At 55.0% G+C, this 17,203-nt stretch overlaps 1 protein-coding gene across 3 annotated transcripts in view, besides 2 other annotated features; it reads left to right on the top strand.

The window, feature by feature from the left end:
- The window catches only part of NFAM1 (NFAT activating protein with ITAM motif 1), a 57,580-nt gene that overhangs the window by 1,938 nt on the left and 38,439 nt on the right, over positions 1–17,203 (top strand). For 2 of the 3 annotated variants that reach the window (NM_001318323.3, NM_145912.8), the window contains exon 1: positions 3,646–3,812. The exons of the other annotated variant lie outside the window; for it this stretch is intronic. In NM_001318323.3, the coding sequence (NP_001305252.1) occupies positions 3,692–3,812 (121 nt within the window). In that variant the 5' untranslated portion in view covers positions 3,646–3,691. Of the gene's footprint in view, positions 1–3,645; positions 3,813–17,203 lie in introns of those variants that run through there. 3 annotated transcript variants of the gene reach the window in all.
- Positions 10,276–10,859: an enhancer, noted in NCBI's record as "H3K4me1 hESC enhancer chr22:42821196-42821779 (GRCh37/hg19 assembly coordinates)". NCBI's record gives its function as "activates a minimal SCP1, AML or CMV promoter by ChIP-STARR-seq in primed H9 embryonic stem cells {active_cell/tissue: H9 hESC(primed)}" and the evidence as "EXISTENCE:reporter gene assay evidence [ECO:0000049][PMID:30033119]".
- Positions 16,547–16,666: an enhancer, noted in NCBI's record as "active region_19162". NCBI's record gives its function as "activates an Ori minimal core promoter by ATAC-STARR-seq in GM12878 lymphoblastoid cells {active_cell/tissue: GM12878}" and the evidence as "EXISTENCE:reporter gene assay evidence [ECO:0000049][PMID:35858748]".

Here is a 17,203-nt window from a genome sequence, read left to right as displayed (position 1 = left end):
CAGGAGTTCGAGACCAGCCTGGCCAACATGGTAAAACCCTATCTCTACTAAAAATACAAAAATTAGCCAGGTGTGGTGGCAGGCGCCTGTAATCCCAACTACTCGGAAGGCTGAGGCGGGAGAATCACTTGAACCCGCAAGGCAGAGATTTCAGTGAGCTGAGATCATGCCACTGCACTCCAGCCTAGTGGAGTCTTTTTTGAGCCTGTCTCAAAAAAAAAAAAAAAAAAAAAGAAGAAGAAAAGGAAATCTTGGAGGTGGTCGTGGGTAGGGGATCTGTTTTTCTCCCTGGACAGGGAGCGCCTTGAGGGCAAAACCATGACTTATGTTTTGTCTGCCCAATGCCTGGCACGCAGTAGGCACATAATAAGTGTTTGTGGAACTAAACTGAAAACAGAGACCAGCTGGGCAAAGTGGCTCACACCTATAATCGCAGCACTTTGGGAGGCTGAGGTGGGCGGATCACCTGAGGTTGGGAGTTCGAGACCAGCCTGACCAACATGAAGAAATGCCATCTCTACTAAAAATACAAAATTAGCCGGGCGTGGTGGCACATGCCTGTAATCCCAGCTACTCGGGAGGCTGAGGCAGGAGAATCACTTGAACCCGGGAGGCAGAGTTTACGGTGAGCCGAGATCGCGCCATTGCACTCCAGCCTGGGCAACAAGAGAAAAATTCTGTCTCAAAAAAAAAAAAAAAAGAAAGAAAAGAAAAAGAAAACAGAGGCCAGTAATTGTGGTCTCATTTGGAAAGCCTTAGTCTTGGTGTCGAGGAGGCCCCTGGGGACTGCAGGGGACACCTGGGCTCCCCCATTTCCCCACCCAGCTTCCACCTCCTTCAGGGCTGCCACTCAGAAATTACTTTAACCTCCCTGTTCCTCAGTTTCCTCATCTGTACAATGGAGGTGATTAGAGTGCCTGCCCCATAGGGCTGCAGTGAGGATTAAACTGGCAAGGAGAGCAGGTCCCCTGGAGCAGTGTCAGGCGCTTGGAAGCTTCCCGGAACTGCTCTATTATTGCTTCACTCTGCTGAGGTTGCCGTGCCCCTAGGCTTCCCAGGGAGGCTAGGCTCTTTCACTTCTACAGCCTCCGTGAGGCCAGGGCCCAGGGCAGGGCAGGTGTTCAGTATACTGTGAGGCATAGATGCACGGATAAACGGGGAATGGACGGAGGTCTGGGCAAAAGCCAGTGGCTGAGACGTGTGGTCCCCAGGGACCTCACCTGCAAATTCAGCTGCCAAGGCCTAGCTCGAAGGCTGTGCCACTGAAGCTGCCCCTGGGACACCCACAGAGCCTCCTCATTCCTCTGCTCCGCCTTCAGCCTTTGGGGCCTTTACTGTTTATTCACAGCTCTGGCTGAGGGCACAGGAGAGGAAGCACATGAGAGGTGCTAGAAAGTTTTGGTAGAAATGAGGCTCCTGGATGCGCTGCGGTTTTATTTCTATCCCCCTGGCTCCCGAGGAGGATCAGGGCCAGACACGAGGCCCCGACAGCGCAGCCAGGGCTGCTGGGCTCCTTGCCAAGGTGCGTCCCTGCCTCTCCCCAGGAGGCTGCGTGGCTGCAGAGCGTCTCAGAAACTGGGCAATGAGCTGGGACCCTCAGCTGCTTCTTGTCCAGTCATGTCTGCGCTCCACAGCCCAGGGCCTGCCTGGGGAGTATGCACGCCTCCTCCCACCCTGCCTCCCAGAGGCTACCCCTTCCCTTGAGGCCTCTTGTGCACCAGCGTGGTGTTGGGCACCTGCCTTCATATCAAGCCTGGAGGAAGGCTTCTCCCTGCCTTATGCTCACCCATCCGTCCATTCCTGCACCCCCTGGGCCAGGCTCAAGAAGGAGAGGGGAGGAAGACAGGCAGCTCAGGCAGGCAAGCGTGGAAACCAGGTGTGCAGCAGGCTAGACCCAGACTCAGAGGCGGCAGAACTCCCGGGAGTCCGAGGTACAGAGTTGGGGTGTGGGGGGCACCGTGACAGGCTGAGAGGTAGGGTCAGTGAGCTGGCACAGGGGCAGGAGCGGAGGCGGCACCAGGGCTGGAAGAGCAGGCTCCCTTGTTCCGAGGCAGTTTGGCATTCAGCTGCCTCCCAGTGCCAAGTCGTAATGAGACTTGTAGAGGCACAGACCGATGCTTTTCCAATGCTCCCCGTGTACCCTGAGGCATTGACACGAGGTCTATCACCATGGCATCAAGGTGCTTAGACAACCTGCTACTCCCAGGAGCCAGGAATAGCGTGAAGCAGCGGGTCTGCATCTCACTGTGACATATGTGAGCATGTATCACTGTGATGGATCAACAGTCAATAACACTGGGGTCCCCGCCTGCCCCCTGCGCGGTAGGAAACTTCTCCTGTTCATATGTCTTCCTCCCCTGGTGGGCGGCCCCTGCTCTTGCCAGCCTCCCAGTGCTCGTGGCATTGGTGGAAACGTCTTTAGGCTTTCACTGTTCATGTTTGGAGCAGCCCAGGGAAAAGCATGTGTGCAAAGAACTGAAATGGATCTCATGATGCCGTCACCGGGGGCTGCAGCTGGACACACCTGAGCAGGCAGTAGCAGGGTGGGAGAAGGCTCGGACATCATACCACTGGCAGTTCAAATGCCCGCCCCACAGACCTGCCCTGATCCTAGGCATGTTGTTTTGCCTCCTGGGGCCGAGGTCTTCTCTTTTGTACAACTGGGATCATCACATTTATCTGGTGAGTGAAGGGACACCTGCAGAGAAGGGAGGTAAGCGCTCAGCATGCGCTGAAACTCAGCCACCTTCCCGCCTGCGTCTTCCATGTACCAGGTGCCTCCAGCTCCACCAGCCATCACCACACCCCAGCCCCTTTCCTCTGCCACTCCAGACACGCAGGCAGATGTGTGGGTGCCAAGGGTGAGGGGCTCCCAGTCTGCTGGGGAAGGGGGTCCCGGCAGCAAACAATTCCTGTCCCCGGCTGATGCTGCTAGAAGTGAGAGCAGGGGCTGTGACCTGCAGCCAATGGGGAAGCAGTTCGAGGGTCTCACAGTTGGGAGGCCGAGTGAGCTAAGCTTTAGGGCAGCCACAGGGAGGAGCTGACGTTAGAGATGGACCAGAGAGGAGGCGTCTCCTGGGCCTCTGCAGGGGACCCACAGAGGTTCTCGCTGGGTGAATGATGGGCAGCCTGCCTTTCACCTGCCCTGGGTGTTTGGCCCTCTCTAGGGCTGGGAACATGAGGCTCCTGCCCTTCACCCCAGCCTCCCTACCACCCCTCACCAAAAAACCTACCTTTGGTAAACACATTATTAAGGGATTCTCAGAATATTTTAGAGAAGTTTGTGTGAACATGCTTGTGGTCGTTTTAAAAGTGTTTCAGAAGTGAGAGGCTAAACCAAGGCCCGAAGTCACTCATGGAAATCCCATGATCCCTCTGCACAGTTACCAGTGTCTCCTGGACGGGGCCCCTGCTGGAAAGGGGCCGAGACAGGGTGAAGCCCACCAGGGGTTGGAGTGGGGAGGCTTGGGTCCCGTCTCCAGCTCTTCTTCTGGTTGTGTGGCCTGGACCAGTCTCAGTGCCAGGTTCCTCATCTGGCGGCCACCCTGCTGGGCTGTTCCAGCTTTGCTTCTGAGCGGAAGGTCAGGGGCTGCCAGGGAGGAGCTTCGTGGGGAAAGCAAAGGGGAAGCTGTCAGCGCCGGCCGTCCCCTCCTGTGAACTAAAGAGTCGCCGCAGACAAGCAGGCCCCCAGATGGAGAACCAGCCTGTGAGGTGGCGGGCCCTGCCAGGCCTCCCACGCCCTCCTGGGCTCCCCGCAGCCCCCTGGCTCCTCCTTGGCGTGCTGCTGCTGCCCGGGACCCTGCGACTGGCAGGTAGTGTCTGTCTTCCTCCTTCTCTCTACTCTCTCGCTCCAGAACATCAGAGCGGCTTTCATCCCGCCCGGCGCAGCTAATTCCCAGGGACCTGTCTCTGGGGATTTGCTGGTTGTCGTTTGAACGCTGCAGACTTCACAGGGGAAGCCTTCTGGGACCGAGAAGATGTTTAGCTAATGCCTTGCCAAGGTGGCTTTTGAAGGGGAGGGGGACAGCGCTCTCTCCCTCGCTGCTGTGACAGCTTTGCCCCAGCAGTCTGGCCTCCTGGCCCTTAAACAAGGAGGGTGGGCGCTGTGTGGCTGGGGCCAGGGGCGGGGCAGGGGGGAGGGACAGCTCCCCATCCGAGGAACCTCACGTGGCTGCTGCGGGGGACACTGCGTTGAACCTGGCAAGTGGTGGGGCTACCCTCTGGGTTGTTGCTGGCATTGGCCAGGGAGAGCGGGGAGAGGGGGGAGGGGGGGATACCAGGGCCAGCCACAGGGCTCTGCGCCCAGAGGCACAAAACTGTCAGTCACCAGAAAGGGTCTCACCTCCCAGTTCCTGAAACACAACCAGAGGCCAAGTGTTTTAGGATGCAAGTGTGTCTTTCCACGCCAGCGGCGCTCCTTTCCTGGTTCCAGGCTTTCTTGGAAGCTGGGTGGCCGGGATCCGAGCCAAGCTGTGGGGTAGGTAGCCTCAGGGCCAGTTCATCAGGCCAGGGACGGCCCAGGAGGGTCCCATTCCAGGGCTGCCAGCACGAGGGCTCAGTGAATTCTGCCAGATTCTCTCTGCCCCTCCTTGGCCGGGCAGCAGCCAACCCTCCCTCTGGCCAAAGGGGTGGCCTCCACTGTGGAGACAGGGTGCCTTCCTTTCTATTCTCTTAGTTTATGGGGCTTTCAAGAGCTGCCCCCACCCTGTCCTGCTGCACCCCCTCTCATGACCACAAATTAGGCTTTATGGAGCCCTTAGCAGGGCACGTACTGGCCACCCTCACAGCACCCCTTGGGGCTCCTATTGTCCTCACCTGCACCATTTTAAGGACAGGGAAAAGGAGGCCCAGGGAAGCCAGTTCGTTTGCTCAAGACCTAGCCGGTAAGTAGAGGCCAGCCTCAGCCCCAGGCCAGCCTCAGCCCCAAGCTGGGCCCCTCGGCCAGTAGGCTCAGAGGATCCTCTTACTTGTAAAGAATGTTCTTCACCGGAAACTTACCCTGGGGAGGCAAAGGCTGACCTGTGTGTACCTCCCCAGGCTGCAGCCCAGAGCCCTAGGACACCATCTCCTTTAATCCTGTGCACGCCTCGCCCCACACCCCAGACAGTTGGTGCAAACACGGCCAGACCCCGGAAATGCAGCCTGTTAGTGTCAATGTGTCTCAACTACAGTCATTTTTAATTTAATTTCCCCCCAATTCCCATCCTTTCCCTTTGTGTGGTTCCTCCTCCCCAAAAGACACCCAGCACACCCTGGTAACCGAGCAGTAAGAGGTTTTATGGGGTGCTACTGGGGAAAAGCTCTTTTGTAACAGTCTCAACTATAACAAAACATTCCCAGTGCCACCCCCTCCCACCCGGTATTGCAACAAACATTACATAAAAGAGAAACTGTTCTTTCACAAGAGGTGAAAACACCCTTACGGTGTCCTAGAGTCCCTTGGAGCAGCAGACAAACCCCCACCCATGATTTTTTTTTTTTTTTTTTTTTTTGAGAGTTTCACTCTTGTCACTCAGGCTGAAGTGCAATGGCGCCATCTTGGTTCACGGCAACCTCTGCCTCCTGGGTTCAAGTGATTCTCCTGCCTCAGCCTCACGAGTAGCTGGCACTACAGGTGCCCACCACCATGCCCAGCTAATTTTTGTATTTTTAGTAGAGACAGAGTTTTGCCATGTTGGCCAGGCTGGTCTTGAACTCCTGACCGCAGGTGATCTGCCCGCCTCAGCCTCCCAAAGTGCTGGGATTACAGGCGTGAGCCACTGTGCCCGTCCTGTTTTTATTTTTTTGAGACAGGGTCTCGCTCCGTCCACCAGGCTGGAGTGCAGTGGTGCAATCTCAGCTCACTACAACCTCTGCCTCCCTCACTCAAATGATCCTCCCACCTCAGCCTCCCGAATAACTGGAACCACAGCGTGTGCCACCACACCCAGCTATTTTTTAAATTTTTTCGTAGAGATAGAGACTCACAGTGTTGCCCAGGCTGGTCTCGAACTCCTGACCTCAGGTGATCCACCCGCCTTGGCCTCCCAAAGTGCTGGGATTACAGGCGTGAGCCACTGTGCCCAACCCCCAACCCGCTCTTTGTCCTACCCCTGTGCATCCCCCTTCATCTATCTGTCACTCCATGTCACACCCCTGCCTTCTCGTCTCAGAGCTTTGAGGGTTTGCTGGAAGGAATCTTGCCCCTCCCACATCTTCCAAACCTCCCCTGACCGTAACCATCAGCCTTAACCATCAGCCTGGTGCAACCAGCTCTGCCACCTGTCAGTACCAACCCAGCTTGCATCCCTCAGCTGTGTCCACAGGGGTGTCACTGAAGGCCAGCGTCCCTGATTCTGCATCGTATCCCTGAACTTGCGAGAGGATGCTGGCTTAGGAGTACAGGCCAGGGGCATTCATCTTCAGTTTGATTTTTTATTTATTTATTTATTTTGAGACGGAGTCTCGCTCTGTTGCCCAGGCTGGAGTGCAGTGGCACCATCTCGGCTTACTGCAACCTCCGCCTCCCAGGTTCAAGCGATTCTCCTGCCTCAGCCTCCTGAGTAGCTGGGATTGCAGGCACCCACCACCATGCCTGGCTAATTTCTGTATTTTTAGTAGAGTCAGGTTTTCACCGTGTTGGCCAGGCTGGTCTCGAACTCCTGACCTCAGGTGATCCCCCCACCTTGGCCTCCCAAAGTGCTGGGATTACAGGCGTGAGCCACCGCACCCGGCCCAGTTTGAATTTGAGCTCTGCTACTTGCCCAGGCACCCTGGGCAGATTACTTCTATCGCTATGCCTCAATTGTCTCCTCTGTTAAATGGATGTGATAACACTGCCTGCCTAAACACATCCTGAGGACTGAGTGCCCAGTATGTCATTAGTCCTCAGTGAGTGTCAGCCACCTGCCAGCCTCGCCAGAGCCATGGAAACTTGAGGTGCAGTTGGTGAGCCCACGGCCTCCAGCTCATCCTGGGTACCTGCTCCTGCTCCCAGCCATCCTCCTCCTCCCACTTGAGCCGGGACTTGGGCCTGTCCTCTGGCTTCTTGACCCCTCTGCAAAGCCTGCTTTTCTCAAAGGCAGCCACTGGTGGTCTCCCCAAGACAGGAATTGCTGGGGGCTTGGCTTTTCCAGGAGCAGCTGCAACTCAGCTTCCATGGGCCTCAGTCCTCCCCAAGGACTTTGGGGCTGGACAGACCTGAGTTCCAGGCCTGCCTTCTTCTGGTGACAGCTGTGTGACCTCAGGCAATTACTTAACCTCTCTGCACCTTAGTGTCCTCTGCAAATGTCAGTCCCCTCTCTGTGGCCTTTCCAGAACTCTGGGCTGTATTTATTTCTCACATATCCATTGAAAAGGACCGGTTCTAGGCACCAGAGGGACCCAGACGTGAACAAGCCATAGGCCCCACTCTCAGCCTGGTGGGACCGTGAGCCTTGGCCGGAGTTACCAGACAAGTTTGTTCTGGATCCAGGTGGTGTGCGCCTGTAATCCCAGCTACTCAGGAGGCTGAGGCAGGAGAATTGCTTGAACCTGGGAGGCAGAGGCTGCACTGAGCTGAGATCGTGCCACTGAACTCCAGCCTGGGTGACAGAGCAGGACTCTGTCTCAAAAAAGTAATAATAATAAAAAAAGATGTTCAGGAGCCCCTGCCTGCTCCCGGCTGAGACCTCCTGCCTCCCTTCCCGCCGCTCCGGACCTCTGTCAGGAGTAGCCTCTGTTTTTCATCTTTGTCTAAATCCCAATAAAGGACTTTCGAGGCACAGGCAGAGGTGGGCGGGGAGAGGCAGGGGAGTGCTGGAAAGGCTGCCCGCGGAGTGGGGACAGAGCGGGAGGTGGCTGAGGGAATGAGGGCTGAGAGCCCAAAAGGCAGGGCCAGGAGGGCCGGGAGAGGCTCAGCTTGACGGCAGGGGAAGTCTGACACAGGAGTGGGATGCAGATTGTGGTTGGGTGGATCACAAATGCCCCTCAGGTAGGGGTCCGGGCACACTCCCAGCGGGTCCTGTCTCACTGCTGTCTCCTCTGTCATGGTGAACTATCGCACAAAAACCGCAGTGCTGCGTGGTAAGCACTAGAAAACAAAGTCCTGTGTGACTCTCACCAGGTCAAGAATGAGAACATCCCAGTGCCTCAGAGCCCCTTCTACTCCCCTCGCCCCACAGACACTGCCCCGCTCCGTGCCCCACCAAAGGTACCCCCATCCCAGCTTGTGGGGGGATCACTTACTGGCATTTCTTTGTAGTTTTATCATTAGTACACATCCCGAAACCATATGGACTAGCTTTGCCTGTTTGTGAACTTTGTGTAATTGAAGGATACTGTGTGTATTCTCCGGTGACCCGCTTCTTTCACTGAGCATTATGTTTTTTAAGATAGATCCAGTCCACGATATGGCTGAAGTTCGTTTTGTTGCTATAGATAGAGCAAGAGTTGAAACCACGGCCGGTGGGCTAAACCCAGCCCACTGCCTCTTGTATGGCTTGTGAGTTATGAATGGTTTTTATATTTTTAAGTGGTTGAAAAAATCAAAAGGTACTGTGCGGACTCATGTGGCTTCTAATCCTTGACTCCCAGCACGGGACCAGCACCCAGCAGATGCTCAGGAAATGGTGACAATCAAGGATGAATTAAGCTCTGAGCAGGGTGGAGACGCGATGCCACAGGAGGGGCGCCTGGGGGAGGAGATGGAAGGGCTGGGTAGTCGTCCTCTGCCCTTCCTCTGCCCTCCCTGAGCCCTGGCTCCTCTCCAGCGTTGGTAGGGTAATGAGACCCCCTGTGTAGTGAATGGGAGGGAGGACACAGGCATCCTGGGGAAATGTGGACCCGGAGGCAGGATCTGACCCTCTGCTTGCTCCTTGTGGATCTAAGCAAGGCCATACCCTAGTGGGGACGTGGGCAACAGGACCCAGATGGGGCTGAAACCAGAGAAAGGGACGGGGTGAGCCTGGTGAGAGGGAGGGGAGGGGTATGGACATGAGATTGGCAAGTGGGGCGCCTGGGCTCCTGGTAAGGTCTGAGCAGGCTGGATTTGGGTCCTGGGAGCCTTTGGCCAAGTCTCTGGAGTACGCTGAACCTCCACGAGCCCCCCCGCCTGGGTGCTCAGCATCCTCCCAGACAGCAATAGGAAGGTACATCCAGTACCATGATGGCCTCAGGGCGTGGCACCTGGGACCCCTCAGGGAGGGTCTGTGAGGCTTTGGCCCTAGGGACAGGGCTCGAGGGCACAGTGAGGGAGGGGACTCAGTGCTCATCTTCGGTCGTGAGTCATGGGTCGTGGATCGTGGGGGTCCTGCCCACCAGGCTTCTCTGGGCCCAGCCACTGGCCCCACCTATTCCTCTGCACCCTGAGACTCAGGTCCTTGCAGGCCAAGGGGCTCACCATGGCCTCCCCAGTCCCCCTGTAGGCAGGGGTGATTCACTGTCCCAGGGTGCACTCAGGCCAGAGCCCTGATGGCGCCTTTGCCAAAACAGAGGGCCTGGAGGGCCAGGCCCCACCTGAGCCGGTTCTCTGAGGCCGAGTCCAGCACCAGGCCAAGCACAGAGGAGGGGCTGCAGAGTCTTGGCTGGGACTTGGATGTGCTTGGCTGCTGAGGGTCTATTTGATGAGTGGCTGCACCTGGGGGCTTCATTCTAGGGCTTGGAGGCTGTGCAGGGTGCCGAGAAGAGCCAGAGGAGGTGGAATGCTGACCCTGGCTGTTTCTGCTCCCCACGCACCCCATTGCAGGTGCTGAGGTGGAGGAGGGGCAGGGCCTGGGCCAGATCTTTGCTTGCTGCTGGTGGGCCAGGGGCCAGAGGTCCACAGAGCATAACCGCAAACAGCCTCACTGCCCTCAGCAGGCCCCTAACCCTGGTGTATTCAGATAAGACCCTCCCCATCCCTCGGCCACCCCTTCTTCCTGGGTGCCTGCTCCTTATGGCCACTCCCACCTTTGAGGTTGGCCGGAGGCAGAGGACTCCCATCCCCTGAAGAAGCCAGCCACACCCACTCCCCTGAACCTTTGCTTCTTTCTACACTGCTCCCTGGGTCTGGAGGGTATCCTCTCACTTGCCCACCTGGTGACATCCAAACTCTCTGTCAAGGTCAAACTCATAGGCTCTTCTGTAGTACCCCCTCTGGCCCCTTCCCCACCCTGAACAAACCCAGTTCCCCTCCCTCTCCCCCAAGGTGTTCATCTGTGATCCCGAGCACACAGGCGCTCAGAGGCATGTGGGGCATGACTGAGCTCGCCTGAGGCACGTGAGGCTGTGGGCAGAGCCAAGGAACAAGCATCCAACTTTAAGAGGCAGGCTGTGTGAGAAAAGCCAGGGACAGTGCAGAGAGAGTACGCGGGCTCAGGAAGGCTGGGCGTGGAGGGGAAGAGGAGGGAAGGTCAAAGAGAGAGGGTCTGCAGGGTCATGGTCAAGGCCAGAAGCCTCAGGACCCACCAGCATCTTTGCTGACCTCCTTGGTGGCAGCGGAGCCAGCCAGCTGAAAGCATCCTGTGGCGGGCAGGAGGCGGCAGACAGGGAGGGAAGGAGGGAGCTGGCAGGGTGGAGGAAGTGGAAGGGTAAGGAGGGGAGGACAGAGGGAAGGATGGAGGCCTGGAGAGGTTGTGTGCCTGGAGGGCGAGGGATCTTGTGGGAGGTAGAGATTTAAGAGAAGTCAGGATAAAAGTGAGCTAGCCAAGTTGTCCAGGGGAAGGAGTTAGTGTGTTAACAGCCAGAAGCATATATATTTTAAAAGGAGGCCGAGAGCAAGAGTGCAACAGATCCCACAGAAGGAATCACTAATGCGAGGCAGGGTTTCAAAGGCTGAGGGAGACTGGAATTCTAGTATTTCTCTTGTCCTTGTTCTAAAATGCAAATATGGGCCAGGCACAGTGGCTCACACCTGTAATCCCGCACTTTGGGGGGCCGAGGTTTGTGGATCACCTGAGGTCAGGAGTTCGAGACCAGCCTGGCCAACATGGTGAAACCCCTTCTTCACCAAAAATACAAAAAATTAGCCAGGCATGGTGGCATGCACCTGTAATTCCAGCTACTGGGGAGGCTGAGTCAGGAGAATTGTTTGAACCTGGGAGGTAGAGTTTGCTGTGAGACGGGATTGCACCACTGCACTCCAGCCTGGGCGACAGAGCAAGACTCCATCTCAGAAAATAAATAAATAAATAAATAAATACGAAAAGAAAGAAAGAAAGGAAAGAAAGAGAGAGGGAGGGAAGGAGGGAGGAAGGAAGGAAGATGATCATGTCACTTTCCAATTTAAAAGCCCTCACAGGCTCCACTAGGTTTCCAGGGCAGTGTTCAAGCTGCTCCCCACCTCTGAGGCATCCCCTTGTACCCCCCTCCCAGACACAAATCATTCCTTCCAACTCCACCAAGGCACAGTGCCCATTTCAAGAATTTGAGAAGCTTTACCCGAGAACTTTCTTGCGTTTGAAACCTCTCTCCACACCCCTCCCCCAACTGTCTGCCTCCTGCTCTTCTCTTCCTTCCAAGTTCAGCTTCGTAAAGGGATGGGAAGAAAGATAGCAAGATACTCAGCTGTGAGGTCGGGTGGCAGAACTGTTCAGCTGAACAAGTTCGGCTTGCTTCTTGAGATTTTGTTGTCATTTCTAGAATTTCTTTTTCTTGTTGTTTGTATGTTTTTTGTGTTTCTTTTTTTGTTTCTTTTTTGAGACGGAGTCTCGCTCTATCCCCTAGGCTGGAGTGCAGTGGCACAATCTCGGTTCATCGCAAGCTCTGCCTCCCTGGTTCACGCCATTCTCCTGCCTCAGCCTCCCGAGTAGCTGGGACTACAGGCGCCTGCCACCATGCTCGTCTAATTTTTTGTATTTTTAGTAAAGGTGGGGTTTCACCGTGTTAGCCAGGATGGTCTCAATCTCCTGACGTTGTGATCCGCCCGCCTTGGCCTCCCAAAGTGCTGGGATTACAGGCATGAGCCACCGCGCCCAGCCATGTGTTTGTTTTTTTTTAAAGAGATGGGGTCTCAGCCAGTGTGATGGCTCACATCTGTAATCCCAGCACTTTGGGAGGCCGAGTCAGGCAGATCACTGCCTCAGTGAACAGGAGTTTGAGACCAGCATGGTGAGGTCATGAGGTCAGGAGTTTGAGACTGGCCAACATGGTGAGGTCATGAGGTCAGGAGTTCAAGACCAGCCTGGCCAACCTGGTGAAACCCTCCCTCTACTAAAATACAAAAACTAGCTGGGTGTGGTGGCACATGCCTGTAATCCCAGCAACTCAGGAGGCTGAGGCAGGAGAATCTCTTGAACCTGGGAGGCAGAGATTGCAGTGAGCTGAGATCATGCCACTGCACTCCAGCCTGGGCAACAAGGTGAGACTCCATCTCAAAAAAAAAAAAAGAAAAGAGGGATGGGGTTTCATACTGTCACCCAGGCTGGACTGAGGTGATACAGTCATGGCTCACTGCAGCCTCAAACTCCTGGACTCAAGTGGTCCTCCCACCTCAGCTTCCAGAGTAGCTGGAACTGCAGGCACTGCTACCTTGCCCAGCTAATTTTATTTATTTATTTATTTCAGAAATGGGGTCTTGCTATGTTGCCCAGACTGGCCTTGAATTCCTGAGGTCAAGTAATCCTCCCACCTTGGCCTCCGAAAATGCTGGGCATTTTTAGAATTTCTACAGTGAACATGTTTCACTCTGTTACTGGGAGGTGGTAGGGGTACCTAAAGAATTCTAATTTAAAAACCAAATAATGACCCACACTCCAAGAGTTGCCTTCCCAGGAACCCCTTGCCCCTCCCAGGCTGAGATGGGCCCCCCTGTCTGGACTCCTGCAGCCCACAGTCTTTCCTTTCTCCCACCTCTTTCTGTCTCCATCTGTCAGCTCCCTTCCTGGTGGCAGGGCCTGGCCCTCCTTGGTGAGACTTTGGGTGAACAAACACTCCCTGCTGAAGGAGGCACTCTCTGGGGGGTCTGTTCCCCTCACTTCATTTCCTTTTTTTTTTTTTTTTGAGATGGAGTCTTGCTCTGTCGCCTAGCCTGGAGTGCAGTGGCGAGATCTTGGCTCACTGCAATCTCTGCCTCGCAGGTTCAAGTGATTCTCATGCCTCAGCCTCCCAAGTAGCTGGGATTACAGGCGCCCGCCACCACGCACAGCTAATGTTTGTATTTTTAGTAGAGACAGGGTTTCACCATCTTGACCACGCTGGTCTCAAACTCTTGACCTCGTGATCCACCCGCCTCGGCCTCCCAAAGTGCTAGGATTACAGGCGTGAGCCACCACGCCCAGCCTGTTCCCCTCACTTCATTTTGCCCACTCCAATTCAGAGACAAGAAGCAGACCCAACCTCACCCTTTTGGCCCTATTGCCACCTTCCACACCATCCTGATGCCCCTTTGAGGGTACAGGGGTGGCTATAAAAGGAGAGGCTGAGTCCCCTGATGACCCAGACCACACTCTCAAATGAGCTCCAAAGTTGGAGCGACTTGACCTTTTTTTGACCTTCTTTTTTTGTTTTTGTTTTGAGACAGAGTCTCACTCTGTCACCCAGGCTGGAGTGTAGTGGCGCGGTCTCGGCTCACCCTCCACCTCCCGGGTTCAAGCGATTCTCCTGCCCAGCCTCCTGAGTAGCTGGGGCTACAGGTGCGTGCCACCATGCCCAGCTAAATTTTGTATTTTTAGTAGAGATGGGGTTTCACCATGTTGGCCAGTCTGGTCTCGAACTACTGACCTCAGATGATCCGCCCGCCTCAGCTTCCCAAAGTGCTGGGATTACAGGCGTGAGCACCTGCGCCCGGCCTTGACTTTCAAAACAGGCAAAAAGGAGGCAACTGCTGTAAAGACACTGATTGACCCTTGTGAGGCTTATTCCCGATTCAAACCTTGGACGTTCTGCACTTGGTTTGTGTCCCCGAGCGGCCACCGTACACCCTGGTTCGGGGGTCTAGAGGCATGAAAATGAGCCATGGATGGGCTGTGGAAATGGCCACGTCTTGAGGCATCTTTGTAATTTGGAGGTGTTGAAAGATGTGACAACCTGTCCGATGGCGCCATTCCAAAGGCAACGGTGCTAAAAGCTCCGAAATAGTCTCTGTTCAAAGGTTGTCTTCCAAGTCCTGCAAAATGCCCCTCCCTCACCAGCCACTTGGCCACACGCTTTTGCATTTGATGCCTGTGTCCTGCCCGCTTGCTCATCTGTGGCATCCTGGGATTTGTGCTCAGGCACATGGCTGGGGCTCTGAGAGCCCCGATCGCAGCCTTTCAGATGGGCCTTTAAAAAGGCACAGCTCTGAGAGATGCCAGAATTAAATTGGAGGGCAAACCCCATGCCTAAAATAAAGACTGTGGGAACTGCTTTCTTCTGTACCTGGGGAATCAAAGTGTTTTCCTTTAAAATCGACCTAACTTGGGATGGATACCTTTGATCAGCGTTGTCTGGGTCCTCACGCCCTTGACTGACAACGCGCGCTTGATGCCATAGAAGGGATTGAGTTCCATGCAGTGGGGAGCCGGGACCAAAGCCCTGGCCCATGACTTGGTGGTGGGAGGAGCCTCAGCAGCTGGAGCAGAGTGTGAGGGACGGGGGAGATTGTGGGTGGCAGATTCTGGGGGTGAGAGGAAGCCACAGAAGCATTTTCTTCTTTTCTTCTCTTTTTCTTTTCTTTTTTTTTTTTTTTTGAGACAGAGTTTCACTCTTACTGCCCAGGCTGGAGTGCAATGATGCGATCTCGGCTCACCGCAACCTCTGCCTCCCAGGTTCCTGCCTCAGCCTCCCGAGTAGCTGGGATTACAGGTGCCCACCACCCCACCACACCTGGCTAATTTTTGTATTTTTAACAGAGACGGGGTTTCACCATGTTGGCCAGGCTGGTCTCAAACTCCTGACCTCAGGAGATCCACCCACCTCACGCTCCCAGAGTGCTGGGATTACAGGCGTGAGCCACTGCGCCTAGCCCATGGGAGCATTTTCAATAAGAGCATACCAAGTTTTCCACGGTGCATTCCTTTCCCAAAATGTCCGCCCCTGCTGCAGAACAGGGATGCCATCTGGCCCTCTGCAGCACTGGCTTTGTCACAGGGCCAGCCTGTAGAGGGCTCGGGGGTCACTCCTGTTTTGGGAGCCACAGGCTGTGCTTGAGCTGAGGTGACAATAACAGTCCCCCAGTGCTGCAGGGCCATTTCTGACTACCATTGTCCCCAGGCCCCTACCTATTGCTGGCCCTGTCTACCTATTAGATGACCCAAGTTTAAGGAAACAGCCTCTGAATTTTTGACTCCCTTTAAAGAAGTATATTTCTTTCCTTTGAGAATGTTTTCTTTTCTTGCTTTGAGGAGTTTGTTTGTTTGTTTGTTTGTGACAGAGTCTCGCTCTGTCACACAGGCTGGAGTGCAGTGGCGTGCGTGATCTCGGCTCACTGCAACCTCTGCCTTCTGGGTTCAAGCGATTCTCTTGCCTCAGCCTCCCGAGTAGCTGGGATCACAGGCGCCTGCCACCATACCCGGCTAATTTTTGTATTTTTAGTAGAGACAGTGTTTCACCGTGTTGGCCAGGCTGGTCTTGAACTCCTGACCTCTAGTGATCCACCTGCCTTGGCCTCCCAAAGTGCTGGGATTACAGGCGTGACCCACTGCACCCAGCCTGTTTGTTTTTTGAGAGAGGGTCTCTCTTTGTCACCCAGGCTGGAGTGCAGTGGCATGATCATAATTCATTGCAGCTTCGAACTCCCAGGCTCAGGTGATCCTCCTGCCTCAGCCTCCTGAGTAGCTAGGACTACAGGCATGCCATCATGCCTGGCTAATTTATTTATTTATTGAGTAGAGATGGGGTCTCACTATATTCTGCAGGCTGATCTTAAAGTCCTGAGCTCAAGAAATCACCCAAGTTCAGGAGTTCGAGACTAGCCTGGCCAACATGGTGAAACCCCACCTCTACTAAAAATACAAAATTAGCCAGGCGAGGTGGCGCATGCCTGTAATCCTAGCAACTTGGGAAGCTGAGGCAGGAGAATTGCTTGAACCGGGGAGGTGGAGGTTGTAGTGAGCCGAGATCGTGCCATTTCACTCGAGCCTGGGTACAAGAGCAAAATTCTGCCTCAGAAAAAAAAAAAAAAAAAAAAAAAAAAAAAAAAAAAACCAAGAGTGGGATTACAGACTCAAAGGGACCCAGCTTAAAATCCCATGTCTACCACTGCAATTTGGGCAAACCTCTTGCCTTCTCTGAGCCTCAGTTTTGTCATCTGCAAAAGGTGAAACCAAACCCAGGGGACATTGGCTCTTCTGATCACATGGCTTAACAGTGACGCCTGAGAGTCTGTGCTGTGCGGGGCAGCCAGACACCCAGGAGTGGCTCAGGGAGGAAGTGAGCATGTCCTGGAGACAGAGGGGGACCCCAAAGCCCAGGAGAGGAAGGAATGGGTAGGACATTCCGCACAGCCGGAACAGCACGGGCGAAGGCGCCGGAGTGTGGCAGGCTGACGTCTACGCAGGAGTGGGCGAGTGAGGGCCAGAGAGCAGCTGAGCGGGGCTGTGCAGGTCCTGGGAGGCAAGAACTGGATCCTCCAAGCCAGGGACTTTCCATTTTTCTTAGCAGTGGCCCAAAGTTAAGAGATGCATGTTTTAGCGTGACCCTGTCTGAACCCAATTGTATGAATATAACTGAAACTAGAAGGTCGCAAACAGTGCCCTTACTACGCATGAAATGCTTCATGTTCTATTTTTTTTAATTGCTTGTCTTGACCCCGTAAATTGATTTCAGACTCCTTCCTGGGTCTCCTCCAGCAGGGAGCCCCTGCCGGTTCAGGCAGGGCAGGAGCAGGATGAGTTTGTGGATCGCTGGGGACTCAGAGCCACAGAGACAGCCCTGGTTGGGCAGGAGAGGGGACTGGATGGGAGCTGTTGAGTTGGAGGGATGGGGGCGTTGTGCAGGTGGTGGGCAGGTCTGATCCTGAACATCAGTGATCCACAGGAAAGCTGCCAGGTGGGCACACAAACACGTGGGGGCACACCCCGCCAGGGACTCACTCGGCATGTGGTCCCCGCGCCAGGTGTGGGAGGATAGCAACTCCGCCCAGCTCTCAAACTCCAAGTTCAAGCAGCCACAGATTCATAAGAAGAACCGGAAAAGGAAGGACTCAGGCACCCGTGGGCGGTTGACAAACTCTTTCCCAACAAGGGTGGGAGAAGAGCAGCTGGAGGCTGAAGGCAGAGGGCTGTTCATGCCCCCAGCCCTGCACACACCACACCCCTGAGGGGCCTTCAGCCAGGCCAGGCCAGCGCCC

Source organism: Homo sapiens, chromosome 22, assembly GCF_000001405.40.
Source record: "Homo sapiens chromosome 22, GRCh38.p14 Primary Assembly".
NCBI lineage: Eukaryota > Metazoa > Chordata > Mammalia > Primates > Hominidae > Homo > Homo sapiens.
This window is presented reverse-complemented; position numbering and strand designations above follow the sequence as displayed.